This window comes from Homo sapiens, chromosome 13 (genome assembly GCF_000001405.40).
Source record: "Homo sapiens chromosome 13, GRCh38.p14 Primary Assembly".
Taxonomy (NCBI): Eukaryota; Metazoa; Chordata; class Mammalia; order Primates; family Hominidae; genus Homo; species Homo sapiens.
The window spans coordinates 78,819,328-78,840,270 of record NC_000013.11 but is presented as its reverse complement, the minus strand read 5'-3'; the positions used below and the strand labels follow the sequence as shown (position 1 = coordinate 78,840,270).

Genomic DNA, 20,943 nt, shown 5'->3' with positions numbered 1-20,943 from the left:
AATAAATAAATAAATAAATAAATAAATAAATAAAAGCAAGTGAGGGAAGTCAGAGAAAAGAGATGATGCTGTGGTCTGAACATTTGTGTCCCCCCAAATTCCTATGTTGAAGTCATAATCCCCAAAGTAATGGTATTGCGAGGGGGGCTTTGAGGAAGTGATTAGGTCACAAATGGGATTAGTGCCCTTATAAAAGGGACCCCAGGGAGGTAGCCCCTTCTACCATGTGTGGACACAGCAAGAAGGCAGCATCTATAAGCTAGGAAGGAGGCCCTCACCAGACTTGGAATCTGCTGGCTTCCTGATCTTGGCCTTTCTAGCCTCCAGAACTGTAAGAAATACATTTCTGTTGTGTATGAGTTACACAGTTTATAGTATTTTGTTATAGTAGCCTGAATGGCCTAAGGCACACAGTAAGAAGGAAAAGGAGCGTGGGGAGGGGGGTTTAAAAGGACACGGAGAAAGAGATATTTTTCCATTTTGAAAAAGGAAACTGATTTGCTTTCAGATGGGTGAAAGCTGTGGAAGAATACAGACTGACCAGGAACCCCACCCTAAGGAAGAGGTCAGCTAGTGCATGTCCACGTGCACACACACACATGCACACATGTGCACAGACATGCAGTCACACACACACATGCACACACATTCAAGAAAATCTCTGGAATCCAAACACAGCCTCTGACCATCAGTCATAGAAATGAACCTCAGAGATACCAGGGCAAGGTTCCTGTTATGGATTGAATTGCATCCCTCCTCCCCACATATTTTGAAATTCTAACTCCCAGTAACTTAGAATGTAAACTTATTTGGATATAGGGTCTTCAGAGAAGTAACCAAGTTAAAATTAGGCCATTGGAAGTGGGAGACCCTAATCTCAAATGGCTAGTCCTTAGAAAAATGGGAAAATATTGGCGCACACATAGAGGGAAGGCGTTAGGAAAAGTCACGGGAGGAGACAGTTGTCTTCACACCAAGGAGAGAGGCCTGGGACAGATCCTTCCTTCACAGAAGGAAGCAAACCCCCTGATACTTTAATCTCAGACTTCTAGCCTGCAGAACTGTGAGACGATAAGTTTCTGTTGTTTTATGGATGAACTCAAAGGATATTATGCTAAGACAAATAAGTCAGGCATACAAATAGAAATACTGCATGATCTTACTTATATGTAGGATCTAAAAAAGTCAACCTCTTAGAAGTAGAAAATAGAACTGTGGTTACCAGAGGCTGTGGGATGGAAGGGGATGGGAAGATGTAGTTCAAAGAATACAAAGATTCAGTTAGGAGGAATAAATTTTAAAGATCTATTACACATCATGGTGCCCATAATATTCCTCAAGGATCTAGAACCAGAAATACCATTTGACCATTTGACCCAGCAATTCCATTACTGGGGATATACCCAAAGGATTATAAATCATTCTACTATAAAGACACATGCACATGTATGTTTATTGCTGCACTGTTCACAATAGCAATGACTTGGAACCAACCCAAATGCCCATCAGTGATAGACTGGATAAAGAAAATGTGGCACATATACAACATGGAATGCTACACAGCCATAAAAAAGGATGGGTTCCATTCTAAGCAAACTATCACAAGGACAGAAAACCAAACACCGCATGTTCTCACTCATAGGTGGGAGTTGAACAATGAGAACTCATGGACACAGGAAGGGGAACATCACACACCTGGGCCGGTTGTGGGGTGGGGGGCTGGAGGAGGGAGAGCATCAGGAAAAACACCTAATGTAAATGACGAGTTAATGGGTGCAACAAACCAACATGGCACATATATACCTATGTAACAAAACTGCACGTTGTGCACATGTACCCTGGAACTTAAAGTATAATAATTAAAAAAAAAAAAGGATGAGTTCATGTCCTTTACAAGGACATGGATAAAGCTGCAAGCCATCATTCTCAGCAACTAACACAGGAACAGAAAGCCAAATACTGCATGTTCTCACTCATAAGTGGGAGTTGAACAATGAGAACACATGGACACAGGAAGGGGAACATCACACACCGGGACCTGTCGGGGGTGGGGGACAAGGGAAGGGATAGCATTAGGAGAAATACCTAATGTAGATGACAGGTTTATGGGTACAGCAAACCACCACGGCACGTGTATACCTATGTAACAAACCTGCACGTTCTGCACATGTATCCCAGAACTTAAAGTACAATTTTTAAAAAGTTTAAAAAAACTAATGTATTATAAATTTCAAAATTGCTGAAAAAGTAGATTTTAAATGTTTCTACCTCACACACAAAAAAAGATAAGTATGTGGGGTGACGGATGTTAGTCAGCTGTAGTGATACACAATGTAAACACATATCAAAACATCACATTGTGCCCCACAAATATATGCAATTATTACCTGTAATTTAAAAATAAATAAATAGATTATTTCTGTTGTTTAAGCCACTCAGTTTGTTATGCCAGCGCTAGCAAATAAATAGTTTTCTAGCTAGGAAGTCTTACTACCAGTGGCTAGATCCTCAGCACCCCTCTCCCAACCTTCCAGATTGCCCGGGAATGCCTTCAGGAGACTCCTTAAGATGGACCTCAGGGATGCAGATGCCTTGCCTTCTGCACTGCAGCCTCTGAATTGCTTGCTACTTTCTTACTTGTGCACAGCAAGGGGGCATAATTACCCATTGGCAAGTGCTTCTGGCCTCTGGACTTCAGGGACCTAGACGTTCAAAGCCTGCTGGAATAAAAGAACTTCCTAAGGTTCAGAACACAACCTAACACCAGCATTCAGGGAAACAACACAAAGACTTGTCCATGATGGTTACAGCCACCCAAAAAAGCCATCTTCATATATGTGTAGTTTCAATAGTTTCCATTGGTCTTCTGGTGACAGTGCATTCACCCAAACACACTAGCACACTAGGTGTACCATCCATCTCCATAGAAGAGTGGGACATAGCCGCTGATGGATTCTTTGTGAGGCCAATCCAAGACCCCCATATGCTATTACTATATGATCTGAATGCCAAGGAAGCAGTCAGTCCCACCTTACCCCAGAGCCAGCTGCTTCCTTACTAATGTACTCTCTACTATAATTTCAGGGAAGGACCTAAAAAACATACTTCTTGGCTTGGCAGTGATCTTAGAGGCACTTGTATCCTAGATGTCCCAGAGACACTGATCATAGGTCATGTCCTTCCTGTCCTCCCTGAGAGACAATGTAGTTTGGTGAAAAAGGCATGACAAAGATGTGTGACCTTGAGACTGTCAGCCTCATCATCCAAAAAATGAGGGGCAAATGTACTAGAAAATCTCTAGATCCTTTCTCTGATCGTTATATTCCTGACACTTTGAGGGGTTCCTGTTTCCTAAATGCTCCAGGTTTTGCAGGCTTGGAGTGATTCCCAAAGCCATCCTTTATCAGCGCTATCTGGCTTCATCAACAGTTTTCTCCAAGGTGAATACTCAGATAGCCCCCTCTAAGTCTCTTTTACAAGTAAAGAGAATGAACACTCCACAATCCGTATGAAACCCTAGCACATCAGTGGTTTAAGTGGATTTCTTTCACCACCAGAAAGCTCTTGTTACGTAATGTAACTATTAGGCTGGGCTGAACTTCATCTGATGATAAATGATAGGTCACAGAAAGTTCATGCCCAATAACAGAAGTAGCATATCAGTATTACCCAGAGCACACACATATGAAAGATGGAAGAGCCATCAATAATCATGTTTGGTCCTTGTAATTATTATTAGCTTAGTAATAGTTATTGCCATCCTCACTCTTTCTGCTGAAAGAGAGGCTTTCTGCTAAAGAGCAACTAATAACAATGAAGGGTCAAATGTACACAACAAATAATACTCCTCACCCAGACACATAATACAGCTTCTAATGAGCTAATAAATGCTTTGGGGTGTGTGTGTGTGCACATGTACTCATCTGTGTGTGTGCTTAACCCAAGAAAATTAAACTTGCTAGGTGGCATGGGAGTTGCCAACGAATACATTTTCTTTTCTTTCTGCTAAATCATAGACCTACCATAAGCTTTCTTTGAAACGCTGCAATGTAGCAGGGACTAGCAAAAGAATTCCCCTTCTGGCTGCACTTTGAATCTTCTTAAAACCTAATTCAAAGTATTGTCATTCTTTTGTAGACACAAGTCTATAAACTCATTCTCCAGATAGAAGTTTTGAAACAAAACATGGGGACTTCTGAGACATAAAGGGCTCCTTAGTAATTAAGATAAAATAAGGATTCCCACACTGGCTCTCTATTACAGATCTGTGAAATAGCTCAATACTTCACTTCACTGGGCTAAAGCCCATTCGGGCCATCAAGTTGAAAACTGCTGTATTATTCTTTGATGTCTACAGCTTAGTAGCACAAAGCTGGTCTCTGAGCACTTACTCTCTATAAAGAAACTCCAAATGTTTGGCCTTTGGGCTGTAAATATTGTGTCACCATTGATTTTTAACATATAAAGTGTATTTTCCTGAATGTCAAGTATTTTCAAAGTGCAGGCCCTCCCAAGAGTACAAAGTAGAAGGAATTAAAGGTGGCTTAAAAGCTAGAGCTACAAGCAAGCAGGGAAGAAAGGCAAGGCACGAAGAAATGAAAGGGAGGAATAAGTGTACACAATATTCCAAGTATTGTGTTCTCTTTCATGGTTTAGTTTAAAATGTTACAGGAAAATTTATCTCATTATCACTGAAGACATTTTAGCACCAATAATAATCAGTTCTATTTTTCTTACCTTACAATACCAACTGTGTTCTAAAACACTACATACAGCACTACAGTGAAATCTCTATAAGGGTGTTATCTCATTCATCTCTCTATCTCTTTATTACTTGTTATAGTAAATGAATCCAGAAAAGATTTGTTAAAAGAATAAATTCTACCAAAATTTCTACTTCCTAAATTCTATTTCAAAGCAACTGCTGTCAAATGCCGTATTAGAACTTCTGTTCAAATTAGAAAATAAAGCTACTAGAAAATAATTCTGAGATGTTTATACATAAAAAGTTTGTCAAATTTCACCTTGATTTCTTGGCACAGAGTCAGATTCAAAGCAAATCAAGTGACATTTTCTTGTTTTTTTGTAAGTTAGAAAAAATGTCCTGAGCTGTGTCCCAGACCCTCAGGGGATCACCTTGCTCTTTCTTCATCAGCCTCCTGTGTCAAGTCACAATCGGACCATCAAGGAGTTTTGACCTCCTAGATGCAAGCTGAGATGTCTCTGGGGATTCCGATGAGCTAGGGGAGCTATTCTCTTTCCCTCAGTCAATCAGTCCTCACCACACAGATGCGACTGAAGTTAGGAAAGACCTCTTTATGCAAAGCATTTCTGACCTGCATTTGCCTGTGTGTAAAGCTTAAATAGTAAAGTTTTTATCACCTATATATTTTTATAAAGAAGTATAAACAGCACCAGACCAACCTCCAAATCCTTCATTGCTTTATAAAACTTGAAATTATATATATATATATATAATGAAAATAATTACTCAATTTAAAAAGAGTTTAAAATGTAGACTTCTAGCTTGAGAGTCCCAAAAAATAAAATTGTAAAACTACAGCATTGCTGGAACAGACTGGAAGGATGTCTAAAGGAATAGAGTTAAGAAGCAAACATGTCAAAACCCACTTATATAAATTGTGAAGAGTAAATGCCAAAACGGTTCCCACCAACTTCATTCAAATTGTTAATCTCTTTTTGTATAAAGTTCTGCTTGCTTGAGAGTTCTATGGTGACCATTTGTAATTTTTCCAATCCTTTTATCCCCCTCTGATGTTCATTCTCTGTCTCCTGTGATTGCTCCTGACCATCAATAATTAACTGGGAAAATGCCCTGATATCTATACTTCAGCAGTTTGTCTAGCAATAAATATTCACATTCCTTAATCATGCTGTATCTATGCTTAATACCACATCCATGCATGGTCTTTAAAGATGTTTTTCAGACTGCTAATAAGAAACAGGTTGACTATTTTAAATTCCATATAAAATGCAAAGGAATGTATTCTAACTCAGCTCAATGTAAACCAGCCAGTATTAATTCAGCTCCCCTCATATTCTCAGCTAAATGCCAAGGGGTCACCAAGGAAAAGCAAAGGAAATTAGCCTTTGCCAAAATACCGCGACACCTCAGGCCCATCTTATCATGAAGTAACTGCACAACCTTTGGCCCCTCATTTCTCTGGCCTTTAGCTTCTTTAAATTAAAATAGCTGGCCTGGCTGGACTTTAAGGTCTCTTTGGTATTTCAGATAATTCCTATGTCTTCTGAGCCTTTAAAGATGGTGTGTGTGTTTTTAATCACACTCATAAGGAAGTAAGTGAATGAGGTAAGGACCAGAGGAAATGAAAGATAAAACTGAGGGATAATATGATAAGCAATATATATTTGTTCATTGTCTGACAGCAAGAGAGGAATCTGAAGTGAAACAATGAACAAATATATATTATTCATGGTTATGGGACTATGAATATATTTGTAAGAAAGAGATTTTTACTTTTATAGGTATTTTATTCAGAAAAATGACTATTTGCATACACACCAAATAGTCTGAAATGCTAATAACAATAGGTTTAATCCAAAATTATGTTAAAATAGTAATGCACACACTATTCTTTTAGAAATTTATGGACATTTTACGTTCTTATTCTTAGTTGCAGTAATAAAGCTTTTTCTCTACAAAGGGGCATAAAACAAAGTTAAAAACCAAAATTCTATTTAATGCATATATTAAAAAAGATAGATAACACTGTAGATATGACATGGCAATGTTAACTATGAAAATAATTACAGGCTGAGGTTAGCAATTAAGTCATTATGAAGTGACATCATATTGATATAATTTTATTTCATTATTATTCTTTTAATGCAGTAATCACTAAAAATATACACATACTCCAGGCTGGGCATCTTCAAATTCAGCTCTTTTTCAGGAATTTGGAGCTCTTCAGATCAACAGTTTCCACAAACAGTATATTGCCTTTTTCTCTTCACTTTCTTGGTGACGTTTGGCTACCTGATAATAATATATTCAATACAAAGTTTAGGAGGAAGATGCTTCCCTCACTTGATTACATTGGATAGAATAGTTTAGACACACATGGTTTGTCTATAACCAACCTAATTTCATGGTAAATATTAAAAGCTAATATTCATTTATTTATTCCTTGATCCCCAACTTCGTACCAGGCTTTGTTCTAGTAGTTATGGCTCCATCACTAACTGAAACAGAAAAAATTTCTTTGCCTTCTAGCAACTGACAGTCCAGTGTTCGGAAGGCAGATAATAAACATAATAAACATAAAAATTGACCAGTGCTGCTTAAAAAGTGGCAGTACATATGATGGACTATTTTTTCCTTATACAGAGGTGCAGTCTTATGAATAATGCATCTTGCCTCCGCAAAGCATTCAGATACTGATATAATTAGACTCATTTCTGAGGTCCTCCTATAGTTCATGCATCAAACACAGGCCCTTCAGGCAGCTGTGTTTGGGTCTATAAGCATGGGATGTTAAAGAAATGAGCACAGTCATGCTAACACTGCCCTCACTGCCTTACAGATGTAGGATGACAGTGATTGCCCAAGGCGTTCTAATTACGCAGTATTTAGTAGGCTGGATCTAGCACACACCTGCCAGAAACTTAAGAGGGGAGATGCTGCGCCAGGATTTTTATCTTACACAGGAACCCAGCTGGAAGCCAAGTTCTAAAGAGGCTGGTGGCTGCATAAAAACCACATGCCTTCAGAGTTTGGTTGGAGGTCCCTGGAATTCTCTTAAAGATGTGTCTCATCAGTCAGGGTCTCATTCAACAACGATCAGCCACAGGCCTTGAAGACATGCATGTGCTTCTGCCACAACTTGGAGTTAGAAACATGATTTATAAAATCCAATGACTACACATCTCACCTAGACATATATCTGAATAGTTTTCCAAATGAGGCATGAGGAATGTTTACAAAATAGATAACATTTGATTGACTGTTATACACCACCATCAAAATATGCAAATAAATGGTTTTGAAATTAAATAATGTGTATATGTTTAAATGGCTCCCCAGTTGAAAACTGAACACATTAAATGATATTAAAGTAAAAATGCACATTTCACAATGACTTGGAGAGATTCACTATTTAAAATTTATAAATATTTTTCTAAGACAGAAATTTTAAAATCAACCTGTCTGCTACTGTTGCTTCTATTTTTGCAGATCAAGTTCTCTATCTACTACACTTTAGGTTTTAGTATGGCACTATTTTAAACTCTATGTCATATAAAAAATTCCAGAAAACAAAAAGAAATCCATAAAATGACTCTTTTTCCAGACTGTCAGAAGCAAACTTAGAAAAAAAGTCATCCATTTGCTTATTGAATACACCTGCTTGTAAATTTGATAATAGGACATACAATTAACCACTAGCTTCTATGCCATTTTGTAGGTGAAAATCAGAAATCTCATTTTGCCCATGATCAAGTTAATGAAGCAGAGACATGGAAGCTAAAATTAATTTTTGTCCCTGCAACTTACAGAATGCAAATTCCCAAATGGATCCTACTGGAAAGTTTCTGTATTCATTGAATTTCTACCCATTTGTCTGTATAGACCTTGTTTGTCATCATATTATCTGTAAAATATTACTATGAAAATACTTCAAATTATAAAGTTAGAGACCATAGAGGATCTGAAATGTAATCGAGCCCATGCCTCTACCTTACAACAATGCCTCGCCTCAAACACCCCAGACATGTTTATATCTGTCCCATTTTAAAGACATTGACTGGGCTGGGCGCAGTTGTTCATACCTGTAATCCCAGCCCTTTGAGAGGCCAAGGCAGGAGGATCACCTCAGTCCAGGTGTTCAAGACCAGCCTGGCAAAATAGTAAGACCTCATCTCTACAGAAATATTTAAAAATTACGCAAGTGTGGTGGCATGCGCCTGTAGTCCCAGGTATGCTGGAGGATTACTTGAGCCTGGGAGGTTGAGGCTGCAATGAGTCATGATTGCACCACTGAACTCAAGCTTGGGTGACAGAGGGAGACCCTGTCTCAAAAACAAACAAAGAAAAAGACATTGAATGATAGAGACTCTAAAACTTCCCTCTCTGGAAAACTCAATTCAGCATTTTTAAGTGTCAGGATCTGGAAAGTACACATTATACTGAACTCAAATTCATGCTGCCGTAGTTCTGTTTCCTCTGTCTGTTCTTCCCATGGATAGAGAATGGTGGCTATAGTTGCAGGTTTATCATCTCCCATGTAAATCCTATCAGACCACAGCCAGGACCCTCGCTTCATTGCTAGTGCAAATGTTTTAGCTCTATTTTCTAGTCCTAAAATCCTTGTATGCTATAAACCACTCTAAATTCAGAGCAGTCATATTTTTATTCCTTAAAGCTTGCTTCATCTAGAAATCCAGAATTCCTACCTCTAACTCCCTACATATTAATAATAGACTGTGTGTGCAATTTAGTTCAGAAGCAGAAACCTCCCAGTGGAAATGGATTCCCTGTGGTCAATTTCTGGATTTTTCTGCACTGGAGCCACAGAACCATCTCTGGAACCATGGACAGTGCCCTAGACTAAGTATCCTCATTAAAGGGAAGGTCAATTCTCACCTTTTAGTCAGAGAATGTACCAGTTTCAGATTTTAGTGTGAGAATTTCTAAGAAAGCTTGTTAAGACTGCAGATTCACTTTGTTGTGATATTCCCCCCAACCCCGACATTCTGACATGGAATATCTGAGCCAGAACCCAGAATCTGAATTTTTAAAAAGCCTCTTCACAGCACGACCTACTCTATCCACAGTTCCACAGTGATTCTGAGGCATATTCTCTGTGAATTACATTTGAAAGAGTGTTTCCTCTATCTGCCTTTGTCCTTTTATTTTCAATTTCTTTTGGGGGGAGGAAAGTTATGAATTCATATTGAACTGACCAGAAGCAAGATTTGACCTGAATTCAGAGCGTACAGAGAAGAAACGCTCCATGGATAAACTGGGGGAAGAGAAAAGCTTGCTGAAACCTTCTCAGCACAGCCTTTTCACTTTATTTCCATTTATTTGTTCATTCACTCATTCCTTCACTCTTATATTCAGATTCAACCAACAGTTTTTTGGGTTTCAGAGTCTCAGAGCCTCAGGGTGGAGAAGAGTTCTGACTCATCCTGTGTAACAGCTCTTGATAATAAATGGGTAAAACAAATAAATGTTTATTCCTAAATGAATAAAATTTATAAGTTATATTAAATATAATGTAATAATTTATAGTAAATAATATTAAATATAATTTAATAATTTATAAAACATTATATTTAAATTATACTTAGGAATAAATTATATTTAATGTGAATAAATTATATTTAATGTAAATAAATTTGTTTTAACTATATTTCTAAATATTTCTATACAGGAATTCAAATGAGTTATAAATCATTGTGGGCTGGACGGTATAAAAAAGCTTTTAAAAATTGTTTAGTCATTCCATAAATATGTATTGAACACCCACCATGTGAATAAATTAATGAAAAATTGCTGTTGGATACTTCATTTCAGAAGGCAATGGTTAAAAGATAAAATATATGCTAAGCCATTCTACTCATTCACTTATGAAACATTTACTGAGTGTTTACTACATGCCAAATAATCAACTAAATGGTAACAATGTAAAGATGAATTCCCTCAACCACAAACCACCAGGCCTTTGCACAGGATGTTTCATTTCGCTGTATATTTTTTTCCTTCCTTTTCCTTGTGAACTTCCCCAGAAGACTTCTGTGATCAGTCTGTTAATAATTTTCTCTAGCACACTCTCTCTCTGCTCTTTAGCACCATATAACTTTCTATTACAGAACTTAAACAGAGCTAATATTATCTTTGCCTGTATGATCATCTGATTTCTGTCTGCTTTCCTCACCAGACCATAATCACCATGAGTGTGGGGACCATGACGATTATTTTACAAATCTTCAGCTTCTGGCTCAATACAGGATGTGAAGTTAATGCTCAATAAATCTGTAACGGTAGAGTTAACGAATGAAAATAGTCTGAAGGTTTATTTCCAATAACATATTCACTTTCCCGAGTTACCCAATGAAATATACACATATCGCCAGAAGTACCCTCACAATTGATATAGAAAACAATAGTCCACTTCCCTTCTGAATGAGATGTTCTAAATTTAGTTTCTCTTATATTTTGCCTAATTTCAGAGATATATCCTTTATATAAGCAAGTCACTGAACCACATCTTCCAACATGAATAGTGTGTATCTGATGAGTCTTAACTCAAGGTCAAAGAGTACTAGAAAGTGCCCAGAAAGCCCAGTCTACCCCAAGATCTCACTCAAGTGAATGACCTCCAGTTTACCATTCTGCACAAATTACAGAATATGATACTGGATTTGCAATTGGAAAAGGTCAGTCTTCAGAGGAGCCCCAGAACCCATGGAGAAAGACAGCCTACTCTTCTAGTAGCTAGGATCGCTACCTGGGGAGCAAGAGTTCATGCAAATGAGCTCTCAACCAGGCATGCTTCTGTTCTGGTGTGTGTATCAGCCATGTGAAGCCTTTTCAATCTTTTGGGCTAGAGCAATTTTTCTAGCCTGGTGCATAACTATGAGTCTCACCTTTTACCTGCATCAACATGATCTATGTAAAACTTTGATTGAAAAGAAAGAATTAGAGTGGTTGAAGACTTTTCCTTTTAGATTTTGAGGATTATATTTAACATAAACTGAAATCCCGATGCTCTCTATTAAGTCAAGTGCATGGTATGAAGGACATATTCTTATTATGTGTTGAGTTTGGAGACCCAACAAGTAAAAATAATGCATAATTACATGACATTATGTCGCATTTATCTTTGCTTTTTAAAAAACCTAAATACTTTATAGAGATTGCCTGTTATTTACCTACACATCTATTATTACCTGTCCAGATGTTTTAGCATTCTTTAGTAGACAGCAGGCTTGCCAAGTCAGGCAGCTTTCAAAGACATGGAGACTTGGAAGAGTGAGGGGTGGATAATAAGTAATTAATGGGTACAATGTACATTATTTGGGTGACGAATTCCCTAAAAGCCCTGACTTGACCACTACACAATTTATGCATGTAACAAAATTGCACATGTACCCCATAAATGTGTACTTAAAAAAGACATACCAAGAATCATACAATGAATTAAAATGCTATGTAAAATGCAGTACATAATTGCCTTCAATGATAAATGCCTCCTTATAAGGTGATACAGAAGTTAGGATCCTTTCAGAAATTCCAACTACAACTGACTTTTAAAAGCTATAAATATATTATCTCACATAACAGAGCCTTAGGTATGATAACCTCATACCTAAGACCTTCCACAGGCAGGGCTGCAGCTCCAACTTTTGGCATTTCTCTTTGTCTTATGCCTTCAGTATATGTCAGCTTTGTTTTCAAGCTGGTTTTCTTCTTGGTTGCAGGAGGGCTGCCAGCAGCAGCTGGGACCCAACCTTCCTTATTCATGTTCGGCTGAAAGAGAAAGACTCTTTCCCCAGCGTGGAATGAAAGCCTTTCTTTTCATTTGATTGGTCCAACTTGGTCACATGCCCACCACAGCTGGACCAATGGCAGTTGGAGTCCCTTCAAGCTAAAGATGGATTCAGCTTCCCCTGAGTTCCACGGGCTGTCAGGGGAGAAATAGATGCCTGAACAGCCCTGGAATTCTGGTTGGAGGGAGGAAGAGAGGAGCAGCCACTAGGCAGGCAATCAGCAGTATTAGTTGAAGATGGCTAAAGGTAGTCTAGCTCTAAGTCCTGAAGCAAAAAACTGCCCAAAGAAGAATTTTTAAAAACGCAAATTTGACTGTGTCTATAATACTCAACAATTACATAGTACGGAATATTTAATCGCTAAAACCAATCATTTATTCATCATTTCTGTTAGTTGTATAATTGTTTATTTCCATTTTCAATAGTCCTTTCGCTTCATTAGATTTTGAACCTCTTTTTATGTCTTCTGCTTCATCACAGAGCCCCCATGGCATCTACTCCATGACTTTACATCCAGCAGGGACTAAACCATTTGACGGACTGCTAAATTCCAGCCAACTGGCTGCCTTACTGCTTGGCCTTTTGGCTAACAGCAAGCACAGCATCAGCTTAGTCAGTGTGAAGTCTTCCATCCAGGGATTCTTCCCTGTCCTGGCAGGAGGACAAACCCTACAGGCTAATTACTAAGCATGTGGTTTTTAATTAATAATGCCCATGATTAACATGGGGAAATTTTTATATAATACAGAATATTATGTAGACTGAAAAATATAACCATCTGAAAACACACTTGATTTTAGGGAATAGAGGAAGCAAATATTGAAGCAAATATCTTCAATAGTTAAAACAGAAACACACACACACATACACACACACAAACACACACACATGAGTTATGAAATTAAGATTTTCCTGGTGTAGTGAATAAACTTTAAAAGATTCCAGCATGATCTGAGACAGTTTTTATTCTGAAGGGTTGTGAAGGGCAATGAAGCCTACTGGTAAATAAGATTAATAAAAATAATAAGTTAATAAATCCTACTCACCTCTGACAATATCCTTTTATAACTGTAGTTTTAGAATACTGAATAAGCGCTGTGGAAGACTGTAATTAAAGCTTATTTCTGATAGATGAAGTTACAGGAGAGTGACAGTTGCTCAATTGTTTGCTATTGACTTAATGTGCTTGGATTGGTTCAGAGAACAAAGCCCTTGTATGTTTTTGCTGACTCAAATGAAATTTCCAGTAAAATTAAGAATTTGTATATGCTCCAGTGAATGCAGTAGTTTATATTCTCCACCTGGTTTATCTATTTTGTTATTAGTCTTTAAGAAGATGATTAAGTTGTCTGATTCAATCTTGCAATTCAGTTCTTAAAAAATAAAAATGAAAAAGGTATAAATTGTAATACCATCTGCATTCTATCTTTTGAAACACATAATGCAAAGAAAATTGTTATAAAACACTAAATATTGCAAAATAAAATGTATTCAAGCATTCTCTAAGTGTCCCTAGGTGATGTTTTCAAGTATTTAGGTTATTATTGTTCTTCCTCTCTGTTCCAACCATTTTTAGATAATAGTATTTGGTGGCTGTGCCCCAAGATGAATTTTTTAAAGTGCATTTTTTTCATCGAACCCTACTTTATTTAGCTACTGTAAACACATCCAATTTCCTTGAGTTAAATACCAATGTCCCCACATGATCTATATTAACCCTCCAATAGGAACAGAGTTAGTACAGATAATTGAAATCCAAAAAATAAGGCCTAACTTAGTGGATATTAAAAACTCCCCAAAGCCAAATCTTTTATCAGACTTGAAAAATATTAATAACATTAATAACATTAACAGTAATTTCAACTCTTATTTGCTTTGCATAAATCATTTTATTTATTCCTCATATCAACCTGGAGTATTGTCATCTCCACTTTATACATTAGCAAACAGGCTCAGAGGCTATGCTAAGCGCTCATAATTTCTCCTCATCTGTTGTATTAAACATGATCTAGTACTCTTAACTAATAAATGGCACAATCAAGGGGCGGTTGTTTGATGTACAATAACTTCTGAAGAATTAGAGACAAGTGCAATACTTCACAGTTCAATAATAGAGAAACTGAGACCAGGATGAGGAAAGCAATTTGACAGCATATGGGTTTTATCTCGTGTTACTAAATGCAGGCAGAAGAATCTGAGATTCAGTGAGACTCTGCAGCAGCTTTCTTGGCAAGGAGCATCTTTCTCTAGTCTGGCAGATCATAGTTGCTACTTTACTTAAGGAGAACAGTATTTCTTCCTGGTACTTAATGAGAATGAAATCATTCAGCACATGGATCAAATATTGAAATGTAAAATAATAATTATGAAGAAGATCATGACAATGGTTAAAACCATAAAAATACTAGAAAAATACTTATATAACCTTGAGGTATGGAATGACTTTTTAAACAAGACCTTAAAAAGAGAACCATAAAGAAACAAAACAATAACTTTGATTATATAAGAATTAAAATGGGGAGGGAGAGTTAAGATAAAAGCACCATAAACAAAGTTAAAGGGAAATAGGTTAGCATAGAAAAATATTAAGCAACAGGTCTAGACAGATGGTTAATATCCTTAATGTAGAAAGAGTTCATGCAAAACGTGCAGGGAAAAAACCAGGCATCCCTTCAACATACACATTACACAAAGAGCTTAGAACATAAACAGGCAAAAAAATAATTGTAAATGGCCAAGAAATAGAATTTTGAAATGCCCATTTTTACTTATAATAACCAAACAAATGCACTGTCTCATAAGAATATTTTGTTTATAATAATTGTATAATAAGGAAATAATGTTTAAAACTCATTTTACATGAGATTATGTCCTTTGCAGGAACATGGATGAAGCTGGAGGCCATTATCCTTAGCAAACTAACACAAGAACAGAAAACCAAATACCGCATGTTCTTCCTTATAAGTGGGAGCTACATGATGAGATGAGAACATGTGAGCACATAAAGGGGAACAACTCACACTGGGGCCTATTGGAGGGTGGAGGTGGAAGGAGGGAGAGGATCAGGAAAAATAACTAATGGGTACTAGGTTTAATACCTGGTTGATAAAATAATCTGTACAACAAAACCCCATGACACAAGTCTACCTATGTAACAAACCTGCACATGCACCCCTCTTCTCATAACTTGTCTGTGGGTTTCTGTCAACACCAATCAAACAGTTGGTTGATCGGTGTGTTTTAACAAAATATATCAACAACAAAAATAAAAGTTAAATAAAACAAACAAAAAACTTTATTCTACCTTTTTCACTTGGAGATAGAATAAACTGTTTTCATAAAGTACTTGAAGCATCAGCATGCATAATGTTGATTTAGAAATTTTACACCATAGCAATTTGAAAATACAACACATATTAATATAAACAGAGTGCCCATGTCTAAAATTATCCTTGTAAGATCTTTCTGAAATGATGTGTTCAGCTATTTCAACCTCACAAATTTCACTGGTCTGCTTTATAAATATCCTTTAACATATATCTCTTTAAAATATGCAGTAACATTGAAACCATAAAAGTGGACATTGGATGGAACCTTCAAGTGATACCATTGTCTTTCAGGGTACCTCCAAATTTAGGGTCTGTATTCAGTGTAGTGTTCATTCATGGATTTGATTATACATTGTTTTCTTTTATTACATATGAAGTTTTACATATATAGCTCATCTTTATTTAGAGTGAGTCTACCACAAAACCAAATATAAGCACTTCATGTTCCCTTTAATTCATGAAGATCACACAGGAAAAAGTGTATGGGCTTTGGAAAAGGGCTCAATTCAAATACTGGCTTTGCCATTCACAAGCTTTTTGGTCTTGGGTAAGGTATCTAAAACTCAGTTTCTTTGTGTGCAATTGGAATTATAGTATATTTTTATATAGGTTTAAAAAAGGATTCAAATTGGCACATGCTAGGCACTCACTACACAGTAGCTATTATAAATGAAGCAGGTGGAAGTTAAGGATCATTATTTATATGACTAAAGTGGATTAAACTGTATCCCCCAAAGGGATATGATAATGTTCTTATTCCTGATACTTGTGAATGTAAATTTATTTGGATACAGGATCTTTGTAGATATATTCACATTAAATGAGCTTATACTGGGTTAGATCCAGTATACTGGGCTGTAAATCCAAAGACTGGTGTCCTTATAAGAGGAGACACACAGAGGAGACACACAGAGAAGGCCATGTGAAGACAAACAGCTTAAAGTGATGTATCTACAAGCTCAAGAATGTCAAGGATTTATAGGAGCCACCAGAAGCTAGGAGAGGCAGGGAAGAATTCTTTCTTAGAGACTTCCAAGGGAGCATGGCCCTATTGACGCCTTGAGGACGTCTAGCCCTCAGAAGTGTGACAGAATAAATTTCTATTTTTTAAAGCCACTTGACTATGGCAACATCAAGAAACTAACACAATAATTTAGTCAAAATTCTCACTCGGACTTTACAATATCGTTTAAGACTACATAATAGTGATGTCAGTTAACAGGTTAAGTAAATTAGAAATTCCCTTTGAAAAGTCTCTAGTACATCACAATGGTAGGTGAACTGGGATGAGGCTAATTGCAATAATATAGGTTAAAAAAACAGCAGCTTTGCCGGTGACATCAAAATAATTCAAGCAAATCTCAAAGATTTGGGTGTTGAATTATGCACTGAATTATCTTTATTATACAGCCCCTTTTTTTTTTTTTTTTTTTTGAGACGGAGTCTCGCTCTTTCACCCAGGCTGAAGTGCAGTGGGCGCCTTCTCGGCTCACTGCAAGCTCCGCCTCCCGGGTTCACGCCATTCTCCTGCCTCAGCCTCCCGAGTAGCTGGGACTACAGGCGCCCGCCACCGCGCCCGGCTAATTTTTTTTTGTATCTTTAGTAGAGACGGGATTTCACCGTGTTAGCCAGGATGGTCTCGATCTTCTGACCTCTTGATCCGCCTGCCTCGGCCTCCCAAAGTGCTGATATTACAGGAGTGAGCCGCCGTGCCCAGCCTATTATACACCTTTTTATATGTAAATGTATACATCATTATCACATCTAGAAAGCCATCGAAAAGATGTTCAAGTTCTGACAAAGCTGTATTCTAAGAACTGATCTTATCTTTAAAATAAAGACTAATGGAAAGAAAGAATTACAACTAAGAAAAGTCAACCCCTAAAATGTCAAATGATGCTGACAGAAACTAGCAAAAACGGAAAAAAAGGAAATTGACATTACAGATTCCACTTTAATAGACTTCAAAGTTTCTTTTAATAAAGCAAAATTAGAATATTCTATTCCTTTACTTATGCAATTATGTCTATGCAGCTCCATCTTATTCTGGGATGTTTCTCCCCTACTAAAAGCCAAAATTTTGAAAGTTCGGATATTTTAGAGTAATTTTGGCAATCAATTTCTTGTTTTTAAAAAAATCCTTTAAAGGTAACTCTCTCAAAAAAGATAATCTTTGAGTCCCAGACTAATTAAGTGTCCTGCTGAGTTTAAGCAGCAACAGTTTGGACTTTAGGAAAATGTTAATACCAGCACTAAAATTTATTCTGTTAATTGCTCTAATAATCAATAAGTAATTTTCATTCTAAACTATGTTCTTTATGTGACTTAAATAAATGAACTGAAGATCATTTACATTTCAATAACAATTCCTAATAATGTCACATTATTAAATTCCACCCTGGTTCTCAATAACATTGGTTAGAGACCAATAAAGGGACTTATTACCTTGGTCATGTCCTCAGGGGCACAGAGTGAACCAGTGGGTGAAAGATTTTAATGTTGCACAACGTTTCTGAGTGAGCCTTTCTTCTCTTTGAACTTTTGCCACAGTTTAGTTACCGACTAGCTTTTTTCTTTCCTCCTCTCTGCTTCCTTCCCTCCCTTCCTTTCTCTTTTCTCCTCCTCTCCTTTTTCTCTCTTCTGTTTCTCTAAAATAGTTTTGATCCTAGTACTGGCAGAAGATTTATAAAGGGAAGAAACTTCTGCATCTTAATTTTATGGCGAATGATTAATAGAAAAAGCAAAACAGTTTAAGAAAATCTCTGTAGAGTGAATTCAAGGTTCTTTACACTGAAAAATTTGGTAATTACTTATATATGTAGATTTATATATGTATATATGAGATAGATATATATATATCCTATTTAAACATTATTTCTAAGATAAATATTTTGGACCTATATTTCTAGGTTGGTTATTTACATTGACCAAATTCAATCACTTACTTCTTCATGTTGTGCTGTGTTGTTGCAGTGAAGTAGAATCCACGGTGTATTAGTGAAAAGTGTTTCTATAGCTAAATTGTGTATAACTAAAATAATGAAAATCATTACCATTTTTAAATACATTCTTAACAATGCTTTTGTGATACCAACACACTTGCTGATGATATTGAAATTTTTCTGTTAATTAAACAACCCCTAACCACTCGGTACATTTCGGATATGTACACTTCGTAATTACCTCCATTATTGAAATGGTTGGCTTGATTTATCCATATCACAGTAACACTGTAGCTTCTGTTACTTTTGTCTTTAGAAAAACATAGGTCCCAGCGAGGGAATATAAAACTATTACTGTAAATTAAATATTAAAGCTAACTTATTCTTGCATAAGAATGCTGTCAAATAATGCTGATAACTGTTGCTAAGATAGAAACCATTTTTTGGCTTTTTTTTGGAAGCACAAATTAAAATCCAATTTTTAGTTCTTTTGGTAAATTGCATGTAGTTAGTGTGTGTGGTTTTACTGATGGTAGTAGCTTAAGGGGGAGCTATTATAGTCTTAGTTTAGCGATTAAGAAATACAACATTTGTTGAAGGACTAAGGCCTTTTAGTCTAGAATGGATTAGCACTTGATCCTTCCTTAAGCATTTTTATACAGGAGTGCATTATCCTTGGAGCCACCCTGGGCTCCATGCCTCATTAGCTTGGGTGTTAGATAAATCAAAGGCAACCTCTGAGACAAAGATAAGCAAACTGCAGGCCAGCAAGATGATGATGTATGGATCCAGGAGGCTAATAGGAAAGTATTGACAGGAAAATGGTGTGCTTATCCTGCAATCACTGCATATTGCAATGAGAGCTCCCAAAAGCAGATGGGATACACTTCAGGGAATGTACAACTACAAGACTGTTAGGCAGAAATGGATCCTTGTGTTTTAAATTCTAACAAGAACTCGGTTTCTTTCTAGCAGCACTTCAAATGCATCAAAATATGTAATGGCACAGACCACGGCAAACTCTAAAAAAGAATCTCATTTTAGAAAACGGAGCATCGGAATTATTTTCAGTCCAGAATATTCTTTTTCTCACCAATATAATCTTTACAAAGCAAAAAATAAACAGTCATGCATGCCTTCCATGATTATAACCATCCTATCTGTCTTTAATACATGATAAAGTTTGCTACCATTATATCTGTTTTATCAGTCTTTAATATATTAAGAAGTTTGCTTCTTGATACTTCTACAGGATTCAAAATGAACACCATAGGAGCAAATTTTAATGTGGAAAAATGCACACATACACAAACACACACACATATTAGACATGTTTTGAAGCTAAATAACATTTTTTGGTTCTCATCCATGATCAATCTCTTTATTTATTTATAATAAATTAGACTTTGAGGATTCTGTCCAGGATTTTAGGCTTATTCTTCTACTTTTGGGGGGGTATTTTTTTTCTTTTGGAGATTATGCATTTTGTACATTTCTTAAGCCAATTCAGCCATTTGTAAAATCTAAAATTTTAGCATAAAACTGATAATACTATGATGATCCTACCCACTCAGATCGCACATTCAGAAAAACATTCATTAATACTCATTTGACCTATGCCTATTGGGGTACTGCTGAGGGTTGAAGGTTAACTAACAGAATTGATTATTCAAATCATGATGTACTCCTTCAATCACCTCTTTCCTGGCTCAAAATAGGACTCCCTGATTTCCTATAAATAATGGACAGTCAACTGTTCTGAAATGAGAGCAGCTATGAGCCCTCTGGTTCACTTCCTTTATTTCTGGGACCATGCATGGAAACTAAATATATTTATCCAGATGATGACCCAGGAGTTAGGAGAGTTCTGCAGCCCCATAAAGGCCTGGGTATTTCTTCACAGAGGATACATTCTAACTCATGCCCTCCTGTTGTGAAGGAGGTGGGTCTGCTTTGGACTCAGGTCACTATATTACAATGATAAGTGAGGGTCCTCCTGCAGTCAGGAAATAAGCAAGAATCTCCCAGATAGGCTTCAAGAAGAAATCACAGGAGAAATATGGTTATGGTTCCAATCAAATACTTTCTCCAAATTTGGGTATAGGTCCAAAATACTTCTCTTATAAATAATGTTCAAA

The 20,943-nt window shown here is 36.7% G+C and overlaps 1 long non-coding RNA gene across 1 annotated transcript in view; it reads left to right on the top strand.

The window, feature by feature from the left end:
* The first annotated feature begins 220 nt into the window (after positions 1 to 220).
* LINC00331 (long intergenic non-protein coding RNA 331) overlaps positions 221 to 20,943 on the top strand; it is a 52,732-nt gene continuing 32,009 nt past the window's right edge. Inside the window, exons 1-2 of the long non-coding RNA NR_046869.2 lie at positions 221 to 331; positions 15,415 to 15,527. This is a non-coding gene — a long non-coding RNA (long intergenic non-protein coding RNA 331). The remainder of the gene's footprint in view (positions 332 to 15,414; positions 15,528 to 20,943) is intronic.